Below are 22442 nucleotides of genomic sequence, written 5' to 3'. Positions count from 1 at the left end.
ATAAGTGTGTAGTGATATCTCCTGATGGTTTAATTTGCATTGTCCTGATGGCTAATGACATCAAGACCTTTTTATGTACTTATGGCCATCTGTGTATCCTCCTCAGTGAAAAGTCTGTTCATGTCTTTTGCCTACTTTTTAATTGGATTGTTTGGTTTTAACAACTGAGTTTTCCTAATTCTTTATATTTTCTAGATGCTGGCCTTACCACTCGGTGATTATTTTCTACCACTTTATCTTGTTTTTTCACCCTCTTCACAGAGTCCTTTGCAGAAAGTTTTACATTTTGTTGAATTCAAGTTTATTAATTTTACCTTTTTTGGATTTTGATTTTTGGTGTGAAGTCTAAGTCTTCACCTAGCCTGAGGTTCCCGAAGATTTTCTCCTTTTTTCCCTACAAATTTTATAGTTTCACATTTTATACTTAAGCCTATTTTCCATTTTGAGTTAATTTTTGTATGAGGTGTGAGGTTTAGGTTGAGGCTTATTTGTTTTGGTTTGGTTTGGGTTTTGCCAACGAATGTCCAATAGCTCCGGGACTATTAGTTGAAAAGGTGATCCTTCTTCCATTAAATTGCTTTTGCACCTTTGCTAAAAACCGTTTCCACTTATTGCTGTGGGTCTATTTCTGGGTTCTCTATTCTGTTCCATTAGTCTATATGTCAGTCTCTCTGCCAAGAGCACACTGTCTTGATTACTGTAGTTGCATAGTCAACTTTAATCAGGTGGAGTGACTTCCTTCCACTTTATTATTCTTTATAAAACTTATGTTAGCTATTGTAGGTTCTGGGCCTTTCCATATGAATTTTAGAATAGCGCGTTTATGGGTGCAAAAACCTTGCTGGGATTTTGATAGGAATTTCTTCAAATGTATAGATTAGGGAGAATTAATAGTTCTACTGTGTTGAGTTTTCCAATCCATGATCACAGGTTGTCTCTCTATGGGTAATTAGGTCTTCTTTAACTTCTTTCATCAATGTTTTATAAATTTCAGTGCACAGATTCTGAATCTGAAATTTCTTTACAGTGTACATAAGTGTTTTATTTTCTTTGGGGCATTTCTAAATGGCATTGTGTCTTAACTTCAGTTTCCACGTTTATTGTGGAGTAGGTAGAACTGTGAGTAATTTTTATGTGTCAGTCCACATTCTGCAACCTACTGAGCTGCCTTATTAGATCTAGGAGGATTTTTTTTGGTAGATTTCTTGGGATTGTCTATGTAGATCATCATGTTATCTGCAAATTGGATAGTTTTATTTCTTCTTTCCAATTTATATACTTTTTATTTCTTTTTCTTATCTTACCGTACTGGTTAGAATGTCCAGTGCTATATTCAATAAGAGTTGCAAGAACTTGCCTTATTCTGACCTAAAGGGCAAAGCACTGAGTTTTTACCACCAATTATGATGTAGCTATAGGATTTTTATGGATGTTCTTTATCAAGTCAATAGTCCATGTCTATTCATGAATGTGTGTTGTATTTTGTCAAATGTCTTTTCTGGGACAATTTATATGTTCATGAGATTTTTCTTCTTTGACTTCATGGTATGATGGATAGTTGATTGACTGACTCTCTAATGCTGACCCACCCTTGAGTATCTGATATATATTCCACTTAGCCATGTATATAACTTTTTTATGTGTTGCTAGATTCACTTTACTAATATTTTGTTGAGGACTTTTGCCTCTAAGTGTTTGTGAGATATTGATCTATAGTTCTCATTTTTTGTATAGTCTTTGCTAGTTTCAGTATCAGGATAACTGGCCTCATAAAATGAGTTAGAAAGTGTTCCCACTTGTTCTAACTTTTGGAAGAGATTGTATAAAATTGCCATAAATTTCTCCTTAACTGTTTTAGTAGAAATTTCCGGTGAAACCATGTGGGCCTGGGGATTTCTTTCTTGGGTATTTCCTTCCTTCTACTTTGTTTGTATATATTTAGCTCTTTTTTTTTTGGTTTCTTGAATTAGATCTTAGATTATTGATTTGAGACTTTTCCTGCTTTCTAATATAAGTATTTCAGGGTATGAATTCCCTCTCAGCACTACTGAACTAGGTGTACATATTTTATCGAGTAAAAGTTTTGATACAAAAAAAAAGGAGGGAAACACACTAATTCCCCATGAGTAGGGCTATAGATTTACGCTATGATTTACTTACAACAGTTAAACTACCCAGACTTTGTGTATCAACATGGACAAAATTCTAAATAACAGTGTTGAATGGAAACCAGCAAACTGCAAATGAATATATATAGTATTATTCTATTTCTTTAAAATTTTCAAATCCACAAAAGAACATGTGGTCATGATTACGTGGGATTATATGACATATAGAAGCCAGGTAATGTTATCTTCTAATCTCGGGGAGGGGAGGGAATTGGCTGTCTCTGCATGGTTTTATTTCTTAAAAATATTTTGAGATTTTATACAAATAACAGAATGTGTTACTTTTTTTGATGAAAAGGATAAGCCAGTTGTCTTGTAGATTATTATCTGTGCTTTTTAATATGTTCGAACTAATTAGTAATTTATATTAGCAATAAATAAACCAATGTAAAGTTTGGGGGGAAATGACACCAGCGATAATGAAGTGTTAGAGAGGAAGATTAGAAGGCCCCACAAAGGAATCTGAAAGCAGGTGTGGAGGTGAAATTACTGAAATTTGGTAAGAGCATGACAATGACAAGGAAGGCGAAGGAGAGGAAGAAGAAAGGGCAGGAGAGACAGTCTCCCTCCTCTTCGTTGTCATTTGTTCAAGTAATATAAGTGCAGAAAGGAAGGATAAAGAAATTGATCTAAAAAGAGAAGCGTGCAGAAACGGGCAGGAGCCGGGACCTCAGAGGAGTGGGCTGGATTCAGCACAGGCCTGGGGATTAACTAGGTGTTTGCAACCTCACTCTTGAGCCCATGACTTGAGGAAGAACCATGAGAATCTAGCTAAATCTGAAAAGATTTAAGGAACAAAATTTGTATGGGGATCCAGCCCTTTTTCCTTCTTGGCTGCCAGGATTTATAATGAGCTGGGCCTCTAAGAGCAGTCTAGCATGATTCAGACAGAGGCCAGCAAACCAGGGCCCCACTTCCTGTCACTCTGCAGGCGACCTGGCTCAGAAACTCTGGAGGTAAAGTGTGGCTGCCCGCTCAACAGCCTCAGGAAGTCCCCAAAGCCCTATCTCCTATCTCCTGTGGGTGGGCTCTCCCCCACTGGCCCCGAGGGAGACTTTGCTCCTTTCCTCTCCCATCCCCTCCGAACTCACCTGAGACAGGCACCCAGGCCAGTGCGGCCCCAGCTGCCCCGCGTCCAACCCCCACTTCCGGGGGTGCAGCTGGGGAAGGAGGTGCAGGCAGCGACCACAGCAGCTACTGAGCCCCAAGAAAGGAGGCCAGCACGGGGTGGGGGGTGGGAGGCGTGGTGGCCAGAAGAGTTATTCTAGCGATTTATGTTTACATCAATTCACTTCCTTTAAGAGTAAAGGGATTAATATTCAGCTCCCCAATTTTCCAAAGGTCAAGAAAGAAAATGAAGTTTTATTCATAGTAAGTGATTAACCAAATTACCTGTTTAATTTTACATTAGAGACCACATATACAATGTATAAAAAGGCAAGTAATAAAGAGGAGATAGAACATGGAAACAAAGGACCCAGAGGCAGAGATGAGGGGGAGGCAGGAGGCTGGAGAAAGGGAGGTTTCTCAGCAGTTCAGGGGACTGCTGGTGTTGCGGCCCGTCTTTTGGGGCATCTGGTGACACGGGATGCTCCCAGAGAGCCCTGCTCCTTCCAGGTAGGAAGGTGTGCCCATGCTGCCCTGCAGGCAAGAGCAAAATGCCCTGTGCTGGGAAGGGATGGAGCTCAGGGCAGCTCCACCCGCAGACTCCGTGCAGGTGCCCTAGGCTGCTTCCCGGCTGACCACCAACCCAGAGAGACAGAGAAATGCTCTACTCAGATCTGCTTTTCACCTGGAGCCTGATTAAGAAACCTAAAGCTCCAGAGGTCAATACACACGGAAAACAAAACAAAGCTACCTGGATCAGTTTAGAGTCCTAGCAGGGACAGAATTGCCTTGGTGGCTGGACGCCCAACTCCCAAGCCAAGCATCTGCCGTGGCCCCCTGACCTGCTCACCAGGAGAGGGGACAAGCTGGCTCCTGTGGTCTGCAGCCACCTGCACACATTACACTGAGAATTCAAATTAAATGCAGAGTCCTAGGCCCACCCTGGCATACCACCCCACAGTCTTGGGGTCGGGCCCAGGAATATGTATTTTAATGAGCTCCGGGTTAACTTAGGATTGCTGCTGTAAGTGAAGGAAGGAAACAGACCGTGAGTGCCTCGGTGTTTCCAGGTCGACACAGCTCATCTGAATAGACCCACACAAGCTCTCAAATGTGTGCTTTCATGTGATCAGGAAGTCCTTTCTGTTTCACTGATAAATTGAATTTGCATTAGAATAACTAATTGATACTAAAGCTTTTTGTTGACAGTTTATTTTTATTTGCATCATGTATTTTTGATGCTTTTTCCATATTTAGAGAATAACATTTTATGTCCTGCGTGAGTCTTCATCTGATGAGGAACGTTTATGGATACTCATTTTCTTCATCTTTCTTGTATGGTTGAAAGCTACCATGTTTGCTAAACTTGCTATCAAAGCAAAAAATTATAGAACTATGTTGTAGGCTCCTCACATACAGCAAACGTACCATTACTTTTTAAAAATTCCTTGGTGTCTACTGTGTACAAAAATACTATGCCGTCCATTTCAGGGTATGTTAAGAGAAAATAGATGTCATTCTTGCCCTTGAAGTGCTTATAGTTTTATTAGGAAGCTTAGAAGTTCCCAAGTAATTTTCCCATGGCAAAATATTTGCTCAATACCCTGCCATGTATACAAAATGCTGCTGGCTTTCTAAAGAAGGGGGTTGTGCTCGGTAGAGGAGTAGAGTAGACTGGATGATGACGACTAGAACTGGCAGAATTATGTTGAATGGAAAATATACTAGCCGGGCGCGGTGGCTCATGCCTGTAATCCCAGCACTTTGGGAGGCCGAGGCGGGAGGATCAACTGAGGTCAGGAGTTCAACACCAGCCTGACCAACATGGTGAAACCCTGTCTCTACTGAAAATACAAAAATTAGCCAGGCGTGGTGGTGGGCGCCTGTAATCCCAGCTACTCGGGAGGCTGAGGCAGGAGAACTGCTTGAACCCGGGAGGCGGAGGTTGCAGTGAGCCCAGATTGCGCCAATGCACTCCAGCCTGAGTGACAGAGCAAGATTCTGTCTCATAAAAAATTTAAAGAAAAGAAAGAAACAAAATACAGTGTAACGTTTTGCTGTCTTCTATGCCGCAGTTCACTTCCCACTTGGCCTCCACTGTCCCGGGAGCTGCCTGAGCGTCTCCCAGCTTGCCCATCTGAGAGACTTCTCGGGACTCTAGCTGAGACTCTAGCTGGGATTCCCAGCTCATCATTGGCGTAGTCCACTCCTTTCTGGAGTCGCCTCCTTGCCCTTGTTTCTCAGCTGTCTCCTTCCTTGCACAGCTTCCAAAAAGGATGGCTGTCTTCTCCAGTTTTGGTAGCATTTTGTTTACAAGGGGCTTAAATGCTACATTGCAAACGTCTGTTCTGGAAAACTGTTAAAACATGTGTTAGCCCCCACTGATGTCTACCATAGTGCACAGTCCCTAATACTTGTTGCATAAACTGAGGCGGATTCTGCCAGTTCTACTCATCATCATCCAACTGATACACAGCAAGAGCCTATACTTTCCAGAAGTCATGTGTCTAAATCTGTTCTCCACCAATCAGAAGCTAAAGACCTGGCATGATTTATTCAGCTTAAATTGTTGCCTGAAAATACCAGATAAATTAACTCAGTAATTTGACAAAAACAACAACAACAAAGACTCTCACATATTTGAGGAGCTGGTTTTCTCTTACATGGGGTTGTGGCAGGCTGTGTGTTCCAGGTGTTTTTATTCCTGTTCTTTCGGCTATCTGAAAATGTAATAACCTTGGGACAGCTTGAGAGCAAGATTTATGAAGTGTGAGCACCAGCTACAGCTGGTCTTTCTAGAAATATAAAGAGAAATATAAATATAAATATAAATCAATTGTATTTCAGAAACAGGCATAGCACGTCTGTGGACAGCTTCAATATATCATTTTAGATTGCTGTATGAAAGGCATTGTGAGTTTTAAAGGGAGATGATGACTCTTTTATTCTGTCATTATTTTCATATGCCGAGACATATTTGAAGACAGGAGGATTTAAGCAAGATGTTAGAAGCTCACCTTATTCATTTCAGACTAGTGGTTGAAAATGGGTGTATGCAGGGCGGGAGAACTCAGAAGAGCTGAGGCCTGGCAGCAGCCTTCCTGAACACGCATGTTTAAATGTATGTGAAATGCCAGGGTTAAAGCCTCATTAGGAAAGAGTCCTAACACTAAAACACACGGCTAGATAAGCAACACCAAAATAACACGTACTATAGGAACTTAAAGTAAAAATCTTATTTATTTATTTTTTTTTTTTTGAGACACAGTCTCCCTCTGTTGCCCAGTCTGGAGTGCAGTGGTGTGATCACAGCTCACTGACCCCTCAATCTCTGGGGCTCAAACGACCCTCCCACCTCAATCTCCCTGAGTAGCTGGGACCACAGACAGGCTCACACTGCCACACCAGGCTAATTTTTGTATTTTTATTTTTTGTGGAGACAAAGTCTCTCCATGTTGCCCCAGCTTGTCTCGAACACCTGGGTTCAAGGGATCCTCCCACTTGGTCTCCCAAAGTGCTGGGATTACAGGCGTGAGCCACTGTGCCCAACCTTAAATTTTAATGGGAGGTACATTAAAATGTGGATTACGTTTCACACAATTTCAAAAACAAAACAACTGCATTTGCTCAAGAACATAGAAAAGGTCCTGGCGGTATTTTTGTATGGGTTGATCCTCACGGGGTCCTAAATCTTGTAGATTCAACTTCGTTTGTTTTTACAACATGTGTAGAAGAGGAATTTGAAAAATTTACCGATTGCACACACACAGGTTTATTCCTGACCTCTTTCCATGGAGTGACACTTAATTACCATGACACCTGTGCTCAGAGGACAGCTCCAAAGGTCGGTAACGTGGTTTTCCGAATCCCAATATTTCCCCATCCTTTTCTCGGGTGAACTTTTCTTGCCACTCTCTCTGGAATTTTCTGCTGCTGGTGCGATAGACCTCGTGACTAACAATGCGTTTTGTAAAATAGTCTGGAGGCCCAGAGAAAGCCAGATATGAAAACTGGCAGGGAGAAGCCAGGCAGAGGGCATTCATTCATTCATCATTCATTCATTCCTTCAAGCAGGCCTAGCTCAGGCCCAAATCAGCGCCTGGGGGGCTTCCTGAAAGGAAGAAAAACACCCCACGCTGAGGTCTTTGTCCCGGGTCAGTGCAGGTCTGAATGCCTGAGTGCCTCTGGGCGTCACAGCCCCACTTCACAGCTGCCCCTCTGCAGCCTCCCAGGTGTGTGCAGCGCGTCTGAGGTCACCTGGCCGTGCCGGTCACAGCTGCACCAGATGCCGCGAGGGCTGACCAGATTTTAGAGGTTTCTATTTTGCCAGCGTTGGGAGAAGCCTACGGGAGCGTGTGTTCCCTGCATTAGGACTTTGAGACCCGTAATGGATTCACAGAAGAATGCTCGCACCAAGCGAGAGCGAACCCTTTAGCATACCTCACCCGAGACAAGGCGGGATTCATGCTTCGTGGGCTGAGCACGGCTGTGCTCTTCCTAAATTGCAGGTCCTGCTCTGTCTCTGGAGACATTGGGGTCTGTCCCACCCTGTTAGGGTCCCTGTCTGCCCTGGAGGAGAGTCACCTGGGGGTGGCCTGGGCCACTGCAGCTGCTCCCACTGCGCCCAGGCCTCTCCCGTGGCTGCCCCAGGGCCCTCTCTGTCTCCTGGGGACTTTGCAGCTGAGGCTTCAGCCTCAAGCTCAGGGAAGGGAGCTGGTCCACAGCCACGACCACCTTGACTTTCTCTGAGTCCCTTCTTCCGCAGCACCCCAACTTCGGTGCCAAGCCCTATTTCCTCAGGAGGCTCACACACTTCCCTTGGGGTGTCCCTTGTCCCTCCAGAATCAAGGCTTCGGTTTTCTGGGAGGAGCCTTAAGTCCTGGCTCCTGCTCTCGGCTCCCTGGGGCTCACCAGGTGGTCTCTTCTCCAGACACACATGGAGGGTGTTGAGCTGTGTGGGCGCGGCTTGAGGTAAGAGGGAAGAGCAAGCACTTCCCTTGCCATTCTCTCATCCACTTGACAGGCATTTGTCAAACACTTGCTGTGTGCCTACTGTGTGCTGTGTGCCTGCTGGGTATTGTGTGCCTACTGTGTGTCATGTACCTACCATGTACCATGTGCCTGCCATGTGCTGTGTGCCTACTGTGTACCATGTGCCTGCTGTGTGCTGTGGACTGTGCTAGGTCCTGGGGACACCATGGTGACAAGACAGAGACCCGGCTGGGTGTGCTCTCCTGTGGCAGGGGTGGTGATGGAGTACACGTGGGGATGGGGAAGCAGAACAGTGCTCGGGCAGTGACACAGTGGCTCTTCTCAGCACCCCACAGGGTCCTGGTGGCTTCCAGGACACCTCCGGCCCTCTCCCGAGGCTTCCAGGTCCCCAAGCCCCTGCCTGTTCTGGGCTGGGGCAAGTGACACCTCCACTACACAGCTCCAAGCCATGGCTGCCCCAGCTCCACCTCAGGGACCTGTGGGACCAACTGTGGTCTTCGCTTTCCCCTGTCAGCTGCCCTCACAGACAGGGTGCAAGGGAAAGTGTGTCTGCCGGGCAGCGTCTCACAGCCAAGGGTAGTGTGAGTGTGTCCTTCCAGCGCCCTGGGACAGCAGGAAGGAGCACCATGTGTGGTAGTGTGTGTGCACATGGGTGTGTGGTGTGTTGTGGCTGTGTGTGTGGTGTGTGTCTGGTGTGTGTGAAGTGTCTGTGGAGTGTGTGTGTGGTGTGTGTCTGTAGTGTCTGTGGAGTGTGTGTGTGGTGTGCGTATAGTGTGTAGGGGGTGTGGAGTGTGTGTGGCATCTGGAGTGTGTGTGTGTGGTGTGTGTGTGGTGTCTGTGAAGGGTGTGTGTGGTATGCATATAGTGTGGGGGGTGTGTGGAGTGTGTGTGTGGTGTGTGTGTGTGGTATGTAGTGTGTGTGTGTGTGTGGTGTGTAGTGTGTGTGTGTGTGTGTGTGTGTGTGGTGTCTGTGGAGTGTGTGTGTGGGTGGGGCGGGTGGCCTGTGTGTTGGAATCCAGCTTTCCGCACTGTCTCTGTCTGTGAACCCTGGTGCCGAGCACAGGGCAGACACTCACACGGGAGATTTCCTGCATTTCCTCTTGGATTTGGCCTCCAGTGGGAAAAATCCAGGTCAGCAGCTCACGGATCATGGCCGACTGTGCTAAAACCTGAACAGGCCTGTCCTGTGCCAACTGCTGGGTGCAAAGCCCCCAGAATCCAGCCCATGTTGTGAGGGTGGTGGGTGGAGCTCAGAGAGACCAAGCAGTCGGGCTGAGGCCAATCCACCCTAGGGGAGAGATGGGGTGGGACACAGGCCTCCTGCTCCCGAACCCACTGACCCCATCCCACCCCAACCCACTGTCCCCATCCCACCCCAACCCACTGTCCCCCATCCCACCCCAACCCACTGTCCCCATCCCACCCCAACCCACTGTCCCCCATCCCACCCCAACCCACTGTCCCCATCCCACCCCAACCCACTGTCCCCATCCCGCCCCAACCCACTGTCCCCATCCCGCCCCAACCCACTGTCCCCATCCCGCCCCAACCCACTGTCCCCATCCCACCCCAACCCACTGTCCCCCATCCCGCCCCAACCCCCTGTCCCCGTCCCACCCCAACCCACTGACCCCATCCCGCCCCAACCCACTGACCCCCGTCCCACCCCAACCCAATGTCCCCCCTCCCACTCCAACCCACTGTCCCCTGTCCCACTCCAACCCATCCCACTCCAACCCACTGACCCCCATCCCACTCCAACCCACTGACCCCCGTCCCACCCCAACCCACTGACCCCCATCCCACTCCAACGCACCGTCCCCTATCCCACTCCAACCCACTGCTCAGAGGTTCTGTGCAGTCTCAGGATGTTACCTACCTCATTCAAAATCTGAGATCAGGGTCAACTAGGAAATAACCCATCCACAGATACTGGAATTCTGGAGAAGTATCAATAGTTCAGACACTTTATTATAATTTCAGGACAGTCACAATCTATCAGGCAAGCCACGGAACTATGAATGTGTTCTGCCAACGTGTTTGCATCTTTCAAACCCTGTTCTTTACCCCTTGTGAAAAGCCTTCCTGGATAATCTTGATTTTGATGTAGGCATAAAATTATAAGGCCTCTACCTAGTGATAATAAATCGTCACCTTTTGAAGGCTACTGATCTTTTTAGGCCCAAAAATATCATGTAGAAATTTAATGGCATGCAGAAAACACTCGAAAAGTTCAAGTTCAGAATGCAAGCTCAGTGGCAGTCTTATGTTCATAACATACACCATGCATGCTAGGTGTTTATTATTGAATCATTCATTTAAATGCCATTTTTAATAACAGAGTTTTAAAAGATACTTCACTTAATGACAAATTCCTATAGTTCTTCATAATTTATTGTTACTCTGTGATAGTTTTCATGTAGAAGGAAATGAGTTGTGGAGTTGTTACTATATTTTGAGTCTTCAGAGCATACATGTGACGTGAAGGAGAAAGCACCCTCTAGCCTTTTGAAGGAGGTCTTTTCCGTAAGAAATCCAGGACTTCAAGTATCAAGAAACCAAAGACCAGGTCATCAGGTTGGTGAAGTCACAAACCACGTAGCAGCCAGGAGCACAGCTCAGCTCCGACCTGTTGGTGTTGGTGTCAGGTCCTGCTGTGTGGACTTGTGTTCCTTGGGCTTGCTTTCTTTGTTTGTTTTGTTTTTTTTTTGAGACAGAGTCTCACTCTGTCTCCCAGGCTGGAGTGCAGTGGCCCAATCTCGACTCAGTGCCTCAGTGCAACCTCTGCCTACTGGGTTCAAGAGATTCTCCTGCCTCAGCCTTCCCAGTAGCTGGGATTACAGGCATGCACCACCATACGCGGTGAAGTTTTGTATTTTTAGCAGAGACGGGGTTTCGCCGTGTTGGCCAGGCTGGTCACGCATTACTCGGGCTTTCTAAACCTCATGAGTTTCAACGTCTGTAAAGTGGGGAGCATAATAATAGCACTTGCCTCCTTGTACAGTAGACAGGACTAAGAAGCTATACTTCTGACCTGTTGCATGAGCACCTAGCCCATAGTAAGCGCCCCGTCGATGCTGGCTGCTCTCCAAGCTCTCCTGAGCCCAAATCTAGTTCTGTTCAATGCATCATTCTGTTTCATGCTGTGTCTCCTGCCCTTTTCTTTAAATATAATTGTCACTTGCTAGCATCCTTTGTCTTTCTAATGTGTCCTGCGAAGTTAAGGACTCACCCGGTAAAATGCTGCATGCCCATGTGAAAACATGGGGCCCTTTAGGAGATCAGCTCAGAGCCAGGTCTTTCGTGAGACCATGGTGAGGTTAATGACCACACATTGCATTCTCTTTCTTGATTAGAATCTGGAAGACTCTGGAAAGTTCCAGAAGGTTCTGAAAGGCAGTTGCCCAGTAAAGTGCTGCACACTCATGTGAAGATGTGGGGCCCCTCAGGAGACAGCTCAGAGCCAGGTCTTCTGAGGGACCACAGTGAGGTTAATGACCACACATTGCCTTATTTTCCTTGATTAGAACCTGGAAGACTCTGGAAAGTTCCAGAAGGTTCTGAAAGGCAGTTGCCCAGTAAAGTGCTGCACACTCATGTGAAGATGTGGGGCCCCTCAGGAGACAGCTCAGAGCCAGGTCTTCTGAGGGACCACAGTGAGGTTAATGACCACACATTGCCTTCTTTTCCTTGATTAGAACCTGGAAGGCTCTGGAAAATTCCAGAAGGTTCTGAAAGGCAGTTGCCCAGTAAAATACTACACACCCATGTGAAGACGTGGGGCCCCTTAGGAGATCAGCTCAGAGCCAGTTCTTCTGCAGGACCATGCTGAGATTAATGACCACACATTGCATTCTTTTTCTTTATTGCAATCTGGAAGGATCTGGAAAATTCCAGAAGGTTCTGAAAGGCAGTCACCCAGTAAAATGCTGCACACCCATGTGAAGGTGTGGCACTGATCAGAAGATGGGCTCTGATCCAGGTTTTCTTTGAGACCACGGTGGGGTCTGTGGCCACAGCACAGCATTCTTCTCCTTGATTAGAATCTGGAGATTTCAGATCAACCACTCTACTTCCCCATGATAGCAGCAGAGCTGAACATCTTTCCTATCATGGACTCCGTAATAGGAACCTGTGTTTTCGGGAAGATTCAGTTTATTTTAGCCAAGACCCAGACGACAGCTCTTATGTGTACGCATGGCCTGAGCATGGGGCCAACACATTTGTTCCCTGCACACAGGCTATCAAGAGCCATTGTGCCTGCTGGCAAGGAATGTGTGAGTTCCTCGGCAGGTGAATTAAAACATTCTTCAGTTAACACCAGCTCTGGCTGTGAGCAATGCCTGAAGTCGGTGTGTTTCCTCTAGTTACTAAGACCAGGGCCCGGGGTCATGTTGACCCTGTGGATGGTGGTATTGGCAAAGGTGTCACTCCCTGCCACGGCTCAGGAGGGACATACGGGTGGCTACAGAGGAGCAGCTGGTGCCAGCGTGTAGTGTTCCTCTGACTTGACAGTTTGTAACCCAGCGACCTGTAAAATATTAACCAGTGGTTTCCACAGCAGCTCCAGGAAGCTGCATCCACCATCAGGGCTTTACAGATAAGGAGGTCAGGGCCCACATCCTCAGAGCAGACAGGGAGAGCAGGAATAGGAAGGCCCTCGCCCAGGCACGTCTGCCCCCAGGCCTTCCCCACTTCCTCCCTGCAGCCCACTGCTCGCCCTGTCCCAGCTGCCGGCCCCTGGGTTGGGCGGCTTGCGCACCGCACACTTGGAAAGGGGGCTCAGCAGGACCTGACCTATGCTCCTGTGACTAAGCCCCACATGACTGCGAAGCTACCAGGGATCCCACCGGCCGCAGAGCAAGGGCGTGTCACGTGTGCCTGCGTGACTCTGCCCTCCCCGTGCCATCCGAAGGCCAGTCCCAGCGTGACGGTGTTGGCATGGCTTGTCAGGACTTACACAGCAAGAGTGGTTTCCTCATGACCTCGCTATTTTTACACAGAGAATTTCGTAACTCCCCATAATGCTGCTAAAGCTGAACACCATGCCTGTCATAAACATGTGGATACATTCACAAGGAATTTCAAATGCTAATCTAACTGACACGTGGATGAGCTACTCTTTGATCTGCCTTTTTTTCCCCGCTTCAACAAAATGCTTTGTTTTGGTTTAGACAGCTGATATTGTAGCAAGCTAGGAACTCTGGGGCCAGTAATTTGCTGCTTGATTCTGATAATGGCTTTCTCTCCAAAGTCAGCTGATCCTGTAAGCAGTAACTTCAAGGGACCACAGTCAGATTTTCAATAAACTCCACTTTTCTGCAATCTCGTCATTTTCTTTTAAAGTGATTTTTGATAACTTTAAAGCAGTGATAGTCAGTGCCATAAATCTACCTGAATCTGCTAAGGCAGAAGAAAACGAAGGATGGTGATGACTAGCTTACAAATAATATTATCTGATACCCCAGAGCAAAAATCCCCATCCCAGGAAATAGAGACGCTACTTCCTTATCAGGCACTTCTTACATGGGTGAATGCAAATTGGGTTTTTGGAACTCTTTGTTTGCAAGTACTGTGGAGCCCCTAGCCCAGGGCTGGCTCCTGAAAACTGCCGGGAGCCTAGGTCCCTCCAGTGTCACGGGGAAGCTTGCTGTAGGACAGACATGGATGCCTCAGATGAGTTTTGACATTGTCCTTTGCAGAGAATTCCCGGCTTGCAGGTCGTTCTTCGTCTAGGGCCCAACAGTCTGGAAGACTTGCTCATGGGCAGAATTGACTCACTGTTCAAAACGGGTGAAGAACATTGTCTGTGTGCGTGGTCTAAGTCACTCCCCCAATCCCCCCATGAGTGCACCCCGTGCATTCGCAGATTCTGTTCTATTAGGTCACTTCATGCCACACTCAAACTCCACTCACAGTGTCTGTGCAACAGGGCCTTTGCACAGCCGTGCCCTCTGCCCAGAACGCTGTTTCCCTCCTCAGCACCTTCACCTGCACCTTCTGCATCCTGCAAGTCTCCACTTACTTCCCACTTCCCTGCATGTTACCCTGTAGGGCTGCTGCAAGGCGGCACCACAGGTGGGCGTCCTGAAACAGCAGAAGCAGCCCCCCACACACACACAGTCCTGGAGGCCAGAAGTGCAAAGTCAAGGCGTTGGCAGAGTGGGAGCTCTGCAGGAGGCTCTGTCTTCACCTCTTCCAGCTTCTGGTGGCTGCGGCAATCCCTGGTGTCCCTGGCCTTGTAGCCATGTCATTCCAAATCTCTGCCTCCATTGTCATGTGGTGTTTCTCCCTGTGTGAAATGCCGTGTATCTATGTCCAAAATTCCCTCTCCTTGACCAGGCACAGTGCTGCATGCCTCTAATCCCAGCATTTTGGGAGGCTGAGATGGGTGGATCACCTAAGGTCAGGAGTTCGAGACCAGCCTGGCCAACATGGTGAAACCCCCATCTCTACTAAAAATACAAAAAATTAGCCAGGTGTGGTGGCGGACACCTGTAATCCCAGCTACTCTGGAGTCTGAGGCAGGAGATTGCTTGAACCCGGGAGGCGGAGGTGGCAGTGAGCTGAGATCGCACCATCGCACTCCAGCCTCGGCAACAAGAGTGAAACTCTGTCTCAAAAAAAAAAATCCCTCTCCTTTCTCTTGTAAGAACATCAGTCATTGCATTTAGAGCCCACTGTAATCCAGGATGACCTCATCTTAACTTGAGGACATCTACAAAACCTTCCTTCCAAATCAGGCCACCTTCACAGGTCCTGGGGTCAGGACTTGGACATACCTTTTAGGCAGACACGATCCACCACATACTATCCTGGAAGAGTTTCTCGACCTGCACGGTCAGGGTTCGTGGCCACCCACGTGCTCCTAGGCGTTCTCCACACACATGCCTCCCCTGCAAACAGCCGGCCCCTGTCCTGGCCGCCCGTCTCTCTCCCGGCCTTCCATGTGGCAGCAGCCTCGAGCTTGTGGGTGGGACAGAGTCCACAGGGAGCTGGAAACAGAGAAGGGGGAGGGGGAGGGAGATGAGGAAGAGAGGGATCTGACCCTCCTCCATAGGAAAACCTCAGCTTCCCCTTTGCACCGATGTTGGAAAAAACTTCTGCATCTCCCTCCCCGTTATGCACGAGGGCTGGGAAAGCCGGCGCACCCAGCGTCAGTGGCGTTCTCCTCATGTTCGGTTTGCCATCGTGATGAACACGCAATCAGGACATGTCCGACCTCCCGCAGGTGTGTGTGGAAGGTGGGAACGGGATGACGGAAGGAGTGTGCAGCGCGCATCCCACAGCTTTGCCGCCACCCGCCTGGGTGAAACCAAACGCGTCTTCTTCCCACGCCTTGTCCTCAGCTCCGAAATGAGCTGTTTCTTTTTGCCGCGCGCGCACGTGTGTGTGTGTGTGTGTGTGCGTGTGCACGGTGTTCATTCTACGGGTTTTTGGTGACGTTGGTAGCTGTGTACTATGCTCCGAACACAGAGTGTTACAATCATACTTTTGGTTTGAGAAATAAAAATGATTGCTTGCAGAACACAGTCTTCAGTGCTTGGGTATTGGTAGAATAAGAGGAAGAGGAATGGAGGGAGGGACGTCGGGGGAGAGAGAAAGGAGACAAGGATAGTGAAAGAAGAGAAGTCCCGTCACTTGGTTTCATTTATTTTCTTTCAGATATCTTTGGTTTTATTTTATATATGAGTTGCTTGTTCTTTGAAATTTGTTCTCCAGGATTTCTTTTTCAAATGTCAAAGAAGCAGAGTTATAGGGCCTGCCCCTCCGACTTGAGGCTGTCACTGTCCGTGTTCTAGGGGTGAGGGGCTGTTTTCTCTCTGCAGGGAGGGTGGGCGGTGTCTACAGCTCTTACTGAGCCTGCCAAGCCAGGGCGTGGTCTCCCAAGCAGTTACCAACGGCTGAGGAGATCACCAGGTCTCAGCATGTTGGTGGTGGCCCTGGTGAATCCCGCCCTGGGTGCTGGAGAGGAGGCAGAGGCCTCACAAGACCGAGTGGACCTGCCCAGGGCTCACACGACACCAGGGCCCTCCCGTGGGGGTCTCCTTCCTGCAGCCCACAGCCTTCTGCTGCTGCCCCTGCCTGGCCTTTAGCGTCTCTACAAAGGGGCACGACAATCCTCTGGAATTTCCACAGTTCCACTGTTTATTCAGGTTTTCCTTTCCTGGGATACTGGGTCTGCACCTCTCTCTACCTGAATTCTACATGGTATCTCCTTTATTATTTTGCACACAGTTGAGGGGTCAGAGAAGCCTTTTCTGATGTGTGCAGATCCACAGTAGCGTTTCCCTTAGTTGCCTTCTTCAAGAAGCTGTAGTCATGGCACCTCCAAAATACAGAACCGTGCCCATGAGCACTGGGCTCCTCGGTGGATGCTGGGTGATGCTGTGTTTCATCTGACGGACCCACAGAGTCGTGTCTTCAGCGTGTATTTATGGAGCTTTTCCTCCCAGGCAAACATTGCCAGGCTTTCTGAACAGGCGCTGAGAACCCCGAGACCCAGCGAGAGGTCTAGCACAGGACTGGAGCAGCCACGAGGCAATACAGCCAGCTCAGCTTTAAGGTCCCGTACACCGCGAAGACTCCAAAGCACCTGGGATGTCGAAAACATTGCTCCTGGGATTTTAAAAAGCAGAGAAAGCAGAAAAAGATGCCTTCATGGTGGGCTCTTCAAATTCTACTAGCAGAGGCACAAGTTAAGACTTTCCCAAGTGGATCCTGCTGGTTAGATTTTATTAAATTAACCACAATTTATATGTTTTATAATATATTCTCATGTGTCTGTTTAGGTATAACATGTTACAGTTTCCAAATACAGAAAAAAAAATCTTATCTAATTTATCTGATGCCTAGGGAAGTGGTCTTAGAACAAAAGTTCCATACACACTTATGGAATGGAGAAAGGCCCCTTGTCCGGCGGTGACCAGCAACAGCTGCAAGGGCTGCTGGGAAATGTAGTCCCTGCCAGGGCAGCCAGGTGGCCAGTGCAAGGCAGGTGGTGTGGGGAGAGGGGCAGTTCTCTCACTACATGGAGAAGGGAAGGTGGGGGACTGGGGAGAAGGTCCTTGTGACACAAGCATGGGAAATCTCTATTCTGAAAAAAAAAAAAAAATTCACATATGTCATAGGTTTTTGCCCCCTGATCTATAAGAAGAAGGTTCTCGAACACAAATCACCTGTAGTGCTTCTGAAAGCAAAGAGTTCAGGGCCCAAGAATGTGTGTTTCTAAGAAGTTCTCAGGTGCTGATGGCCGGTCCCCACACCGCATCACGCTGCCTCGTATCCGCTTCTGAGACCCTCACCACTGCACACTTCTCTTATTGTATTGATTAATAATTTAGGAATGTAGAATGTCTTAGGCCTACTGTCATACTTTCCACATGGGACATTCAAAATGTAAATAACTCTGTTCATAACTAAAATATATTCCTAGAGGCATTCTCATAGCTAGATTCAGTCTTCTAAACTTTCTCAACTGTAAAATGGGAATGAAGCTTACAGGGTTATTCCTGTAATTATCTAACTTAGGTTTATAGAAACATGAGGGATAAAGCAAATCATTGTAAAATAAATCCTGTTATCTCCATAGAAACATTACTTTAGGATTGCTTTCTTGAACATGGACTCAAAAAAAAACTGTGCAATCAAAAGCATGTTATGAAAACAACGTCCAAAGAATCCTAAGTCTAAAAGTAACACAAGCGTGATCTGTGTCCTATAATATGGGTATACCCTGCAGCTCTACACAATGCAAATGTTTTGCTAATAAGCCTAAACAAAATGAAGTGCGGAGAGCATATGATGAATTCCACGCCATCATAAACTTGACCTTGCATTATGGCACCTGACATGCTTGTCAGCCTAACCCTCAACAGGCACGATGTTTGCTCCCTACATTTTTGCAGGTTTGGGAGTGGGAGTAAGATGATTTGGGTAACCAAGTGCCAACTATCTAGGAAGACTGGCATTGAGGTCTTCTCTATCTCACGATGCATTTATTTCTACAAGGGATTTCACAATAATCCCATTGCTTGTAAAATTGCACTCACAATTATTTCAAAAACAGCCAGTTTCACATTTTAATATTTGAATACTTGTCTGGCGTTTGGGGCATGGCTGTCTCGTGAATGTCCTTCCTCTTCACTTTTTTCCCTCTTTCCTCACCTTCCACACCCCAGGACACTTTGTGTGGTCTTAAAGCAGCAGCAGTTGCATTTCCCCTGTGCTTCAGTTGTGTGTGTTGGATCAAGAGCTTTGTTGACAGGCAATTGTAGGATGTAACTTCTGGGCAGCTGGTGTTTTTAGCCTTTTTTCTTCCCTTGACCTTGTCAGTTTAGGAGTGGATGCATCTAGATGTGGGAAGCCATCTAGAGGTCTCTGAACATGTGTGATAGTAAGTAGGTAGCGATGTTTCTGCAGCTGCTCACCACCCACCCAGGGAACCCTGGACCTGGTGGAGGTAAGAGGAAGACAGAAAGCAAAGCAACGCCTGCAGCATACCCCAACCCTAACCCTAGCCCTGCCCAGCCCTGCAGCCCACATGGGCTTCATTCTCACACCAGTGCAGAAAGGCAAGTTTTATTACCTCTACTTTATGGGAAACTGAGGCTCAGAAAAGTGGAGTCTTGTTCGGGGTCACCCAGATGGAACCTGGATTGAGACCTAGGTCTCACCTGCCTGATTTTCACCGTAGAAAGTCAGAACTACCTAGAGAATGAAATCAGTAAAATACCTAGGAACAAGGTGTTTGTTCCCCAGCATTTCAGCTGGGAGCTATTTCCCTGCACAGATAGGCTAGTGAGTTTTATCTATGCTGAATTATCCTGTGGTTCCACCAAGGTGACATGTAGTCTAAGCTGCTTTAGGTGTACATTATTAAAAACGAGAGCCTAACAGTCAACAACAGTGGACTGCTTCCTAGTAAATCTGGGTGACTAACTTTGCCTGTGCCCAATGTTAACCCTCGAGGTAACACTAAGTGTTGATAATCACACAGACATTATCAAAGTGTCCAGTCATCCCAGTGGCTGGAAATCGGATCTAGAACTGAATACCAACTGAGACCGCGGAAGTCTCAGCGGTCCTGATGGAATCTGAAAGTCTGTCCCTCCCACAGCTCTAGCTCAGTTCTTCCTCCCTCTCTTTCCTTTTCTATTAGTTTACAAAAGGCTTCTTTAATTACCCAAGAGATGCTTCAGAGTCAGCTGACTTTCCTTGCAGCATTTCACATGTTTACCCAATTTTTCTCTGGCTCTCTCAATTTGATTAATTGCAAAAAATGAAATAAAAAAGATTTCCTCCAAGCATGCAGCTGCTTTTGTGTGCAGATGGATCTTTTCAGCACATTACAGAAACCAGCTGCCAGGCTGAGCTCTTAGCCCCGTGACAGTGAGAGCTTCATCCTTCTCGAGCTCTTCTCTAAAAGGCAGACTGGGGCAGAGTGTCAGAAGCTAATAAGGCAGACTGCCAGTCACTCGTGATTATCAGCCAGATGCTCTGTCGTTCCCACCATAGTTCCTTGAGACACGTCTCACTTACCGGTGCTCAGGGGCCATTTCCACTAACGGCTCTGATGGGGGCTCCCACACATCAAGTTGTCGTTTTGTTCCTCTTGTCTTTCTTTTCCTGCTAGTATATAAATTTTGCATTTAAGGCTAGAATTAACCAACCCTCAGTGATTCATATAAATATTCTTTATATTAATCTGAGAGGCCAGTCAAATGCAAGTAAGTAGGCTTGTCTAACTAGTCAAATCCAACAAGATGTATTCAAAAGTCTGATCTGGACTTGAGTTATTTTCACCAATTCTGTGTCCAGTATTCTTGAGTTTTCTAAATCATGATTAAGATCAATCATCCCAAGCGTAACCTAGAGTTGTGCTATGAAGCATGACAACATTTGATCAGAACAAACTGATTCGGAAGAAACATGGCCCCTCTCCAAGGAGCAGTTCAGCACCTTGTGGACAGATTTCAGCTGCGTTCAAGAGCCCCTTGCCCAAAAATAGCTCTCTTTGTCTACCAGCAAGTCCCAAAATATTTACATGGCCCACACTATTCTGATTTGGGACAAGTCCTTGGAGCTTTGTTTCCTGGAAGGAGTGAGTGTTGCATTTGTGTTTGCCTAGTCCCAGCATAAGGAGGTGGGAGGAGGAGGGTGAGAAACGGATAGAGCCAGGGAACAGGAAGGGGACTGGGCAGGCGAGGGCTCACAGGAGGCAGAGATGAGATGATGCCTGGGCCAGGAACAGGCACTTGGAGAACACAGCCGGTGATAGGAGGTTCATTTATGTCTGGATGGGCAAAATGCCCCCAAAGGTCCAAGTTGTCAACCTTAACTAAAGGAAGTTACCTGTTTTTGCCTGTGTTTAGCTTTGAATAGACCAGCTCTTATTTCTTAAACAGAAAGATGGATTGACAGATATTTGACATGTTTTTATTCTATAATGTGTGTCCATCCTGCAAGCTCTTAATATTTAGTTAAAACAACACCACATGGAATTAGAGAGGCAGAATTAGGGAATGACAGCCCCTGTGTACCCAGGGTTCAAACGACACCTCACAAGGAACACACCCCTTCTTTCTTAGACCCTAAAAGGACACAGTGAATTTGGCCTTTCCCTTGGTTAACCCATTCTTATCCAGTAAGGCACCACATGTGCAACAAACCCTCATTTCCCAATGAGAAGAATGCCCCTTCAAGGTTTTTTTGGTTGTCCAATTTAAATAAATTGGGAAGGTAGAATCACACTGGACACCGAAATCATCCGCAAAGGTAGCCTTGCGTTTTTAAAATCATACATATCAAACTATTATTGCTTTTTTCACTCTCATGCCATGAAGCATGGGGAAGGCACCTGATTCTTGCAGGTGGGTTGTGTTTATATCATCACTAGAACCGCGTCTTTGATTTCGCAGAGCCTCATCTGTGGGCACTTTGACCTAAGTTGCTTGAAGTACACGTGTTTTAAATCTCCCTGCACGAGCCCCTCACCGGAAGTCTTATCGTGGGCCCCAGTTTCATCACACACCCTGAAGGTGGGTGGGGTTTCCAGTCTGTGGTCGGCTGCTAGTCGTCTCCCACACACGTGAGGGAGGTGGACTCCGGGAGTGGCGACTGTGCTGTAGGCGTTTGCTTCTCTTCTCAGCAATCCTTCCAGTGGCTGTGGGGTGATGGGGGTGCCCGCCTGCAGAAAAGTGTCCTCAGCCAGTCTTCCTGAGCCACCAAAAAGGGACCCCGGTAACATGGGAGATGGAAAAGCTCAGCTGTCAGGCAATTCTCTTTTCTAAAGAGAGACTTTTGAGGAACACAATTTGCATTGTGTTCGGGTGTATCTACTATTTTGGAGAGTCCTCTCTCCCCGTGTTCAGAAGACAGTTCATCTTGTTCCCTCTCAAGGAAAGCTGTTCCTGGGTTCTACAGGAGAATGGGTACTCACACCTTTTTGCAAAAGAATACATCCATCATGGAAAACATGTTGTCATTGTCCTTAAAGACTCTGGTCACCTGCAGCGTGGTCTGGGCTGATGGTTCCAGTGGCCCTCAGCTGAAGAGCCCCAAGGCCAGGGCAGGTTCCGCAGGAAGGCTGGAAGGAGCAATTTGCTTGGAATGGGTGTGGCTCAATTCTTCCGTTCTTTGCATATCTTGGGGAAAAATCATAAATGTGCTGCTAAGGTTTGGGTTAGAAAATAAAAATGAGGAGTAATGTGGTTTTTAAATCCATCTTTATCTTCCCTACAAATTCTGCAGATTCTTTGGACACTTGTCTGTTAAGCTGTCCTTGGTCTAATGTTGGCTCTTTCTGTGCTCACATGGTTTCTTTAAAGCAGTGAGCATGAATAGCTTCTTACTACCTTTTAGTTTTAGAAGAGTGTCAGCACCTTTCTGACATCTCAGCTCATCTCATAACAATGCACCTGAGTATGGGATATAATTCTCTGTGTGTGTACATAGGTATGAATGGATAGATGGATGGGTGGATGAATAGATAGATATTTCTGTACATATACACAGATCTGCAAGATTTCTCAAGACAGGTTGAAGTGTGTTACTGAACAGAATTTGGATGTTGGTGCGGTTCTGTTTTCTAGCTCTTTGCATGGGATGGAAAGATAGCATGTGTTAATAAGATGACTTGGACGTGTCTCTTCTGTTTTCAGGGCCTTGGTTTCG

At 47.0% G+C, this 22442-nt stretch overlaps 1 protein-coding gene across 18 annotated transcripts in view, besides 10 other annotated features; it reads left to right on the top strand.

Moving 5' to 3' along the window:
* The window catches only part of MBP (myelin basic protein), a 154876-nt gene that overhangs the window by 5865 nt on the left and 126569 nt on the right, over positions 1-22442 (top strand). For 3 of the 18 annotated variants that reach the window (XM_047437528.1, XM_047437522.1, XM_047437527.1), the window contains one exon: positions 196-21882. The exons of the other annotated variants lie outside the window; for them this stretch is intronic. The gene's annotated coding sequence lies outside the window, so the exon portion shown is untranslated. The remainder of the gene's footprint in view (positions 1-195; positions 21883-22442) is intronic. 18 annotated transcript variants of the gene reach the window in all.
* Positions 2968-3077: an enhancer, noted in NCBI's record as "active region_13530". NCBI's record gives its function as "activates an Ori minimal core promoter by ATAC-STARR-seq in GM12878 lymphoblastoid cells {active_cell/tissue: GM12878}" and the evidence as "EXISTENCE:reporter gene assay evidence [ECO:0000049][PMID:35858748]".
* Positions 3118-3177: an enhancer, noted in NCBI's record as "active region_13529". NCBI's record gives its function as "activates an Ori minimal core promoter by ATAC-STARR-seq in GM12878 lymphoblastoid cells {active_cell/tissue: GM12878}" and the evidence as "EXISTENCE:reporter gene assay evidence [ECO:0000049][PMID:35858748]".
* Positions 3556-4489: an enhancer, noted in NCBI's record as "H3K27ac-H3K4me1 hESC enhancer chr18:74835311-74836244 (GRCh37/hg19 assembly coordinates)". NCBI's record gives its function as "activates a minimal SCP1, AML or CMV promoter by ChIP-STARR-seq in naive H9 embryonic stem cells {active_cell/tissue: H9 hESC(naive)}" and the evidence as "EXISTENCE:reporter gene assay evidence [ECO:0000049][PMID:30033119]".
* Positions 6975-7583: an enhancer, noted in NCBI's record as "H3K27ac-H3K4me1 hESC enhancer chr18:74832217-74832825 (GRCh37/hg19 assembly coordinates)". NCBI's record gives its function as "activates a minimal SCP1, AML or CMV promoter by ChIP-STARR-seq in primed H9 embryonic stem cells {active_cell/tissue: H9 hESC(primed)}" and the evidence as "EXISTENCE:reporter gene assay evidence [ECO:0000049][PMID:30033119]".
* Positions 7584-8192: an enhancer, noted in NCBI's record as "H3K27ac-H3K4me1 hESC enhancer chr18:74831608-74832216 (GRCh37/hg19 assembly coordinates)". NCBI's record gives its function as "activates a minimal SCP1, AML or CMV promoter by ChIP-STARR-seq in naive and primed H9 embryonic stem cells {active_cell/tissue: H9 hESC(naive and primed)}" and the evidence as "EXISTENCE:reporter gene assay evidence [ECO:0000049][PMID:30033119]".
* Positions 8775-9275: an enhancer, noted in NCBI's record as "H3K27ac hESC enhancer chr18:74830525-74831025 (GRCh37/hg19 assembly coordinates)". NCBI's record gives its function as "activates a minimal SCP1, AML or CMV promoter by ChIP-STARR-seq in primed H9 embryonic stem cells {active_cell/tissue: H9 hESC(primed)}" and the evidence as "EXISTENCE:reporter gene assay evidence [ECO:0000049][PMID:30033119]".
* Positions 13772-14319: an enhancer, noted in NCBI's record as "H3K4me1 hESC enhancer chr18:74825481-74826028 (GRCh37/hg19 assembly coordinates)". NCBI's record gives its function as "activates a minimal SCP1, AML or CMV promoter by ChIP-STARR-seq in primed H9 embryonic stem cells {active_cell/tissue: H9 hESC(primed)}" and the evidence as "EXISTENCE:reporter gene assay evidence [ECO:0000049][PMID:30033119]".
* Positions 15430-15931: an enhancer, noted in NCBI's record as "H3K4me1 hESC enhancer chr18:74823869-74824370 (GRCh37/hg19 assembly coordinates)". NCBI's record gives its function as "activates a minimal SCP1, AML or CMV promoter by ChIP-STARR-seq in naive H9 embryonic stem cells {active_cell/tissue: H9 hESC(naive)}" and the evidence as "EXISTENCE:reporter gene assay evidence [ECO:0000049][PMID:30033119]".
* Positions 15932-16433: an enhancer, noted in NCBI's record as "H3K4me1 hESC enhancer chr18:74823367-74823868 (GRCh37/hg19 assembly coordinates)". NCBI's record gives its function as "activates a minimal SCP1, AML or CMV promoter by ChIP-STARR-seq in naive H9 embryonic stem cells {active_cell/tissue: H9 hESC(naive)}" and the evidence as "EXISTENCE:reporter gene assay evidence [ECO:0000049][PMID:30033119]".
* Positions 21390-21439: an enhancer, noted in NCBI's record as "active region_13528". NCBI's record gives its function as "activates an Ori minimal core promoter by ATAC-STARR-seq in GM12878 lymphoblastoid cells {active_cell/tissue: GM12878}" and the evidence as "EXISTENCE:reporter gene assay evidence [ECO:0000049][PMID:35858748]".

This window comes from Homo sapiens, chromosome 18 (assembly GCF_000001405.40).
Source record: "Homo sapiens chromosome 18, GRCh38.p14 Primary Assembly".
Classification (NCBI taxonomy): Eukaryota; Metazoa; Chordata; class Mammalia; order Primates; family Hominidae; genus Homo; species Homo sapiens.
Note: the sequence above shows the minus strand (reverse complement) of the source record. Positions and strands in the feature narration are given on the sequence as shown.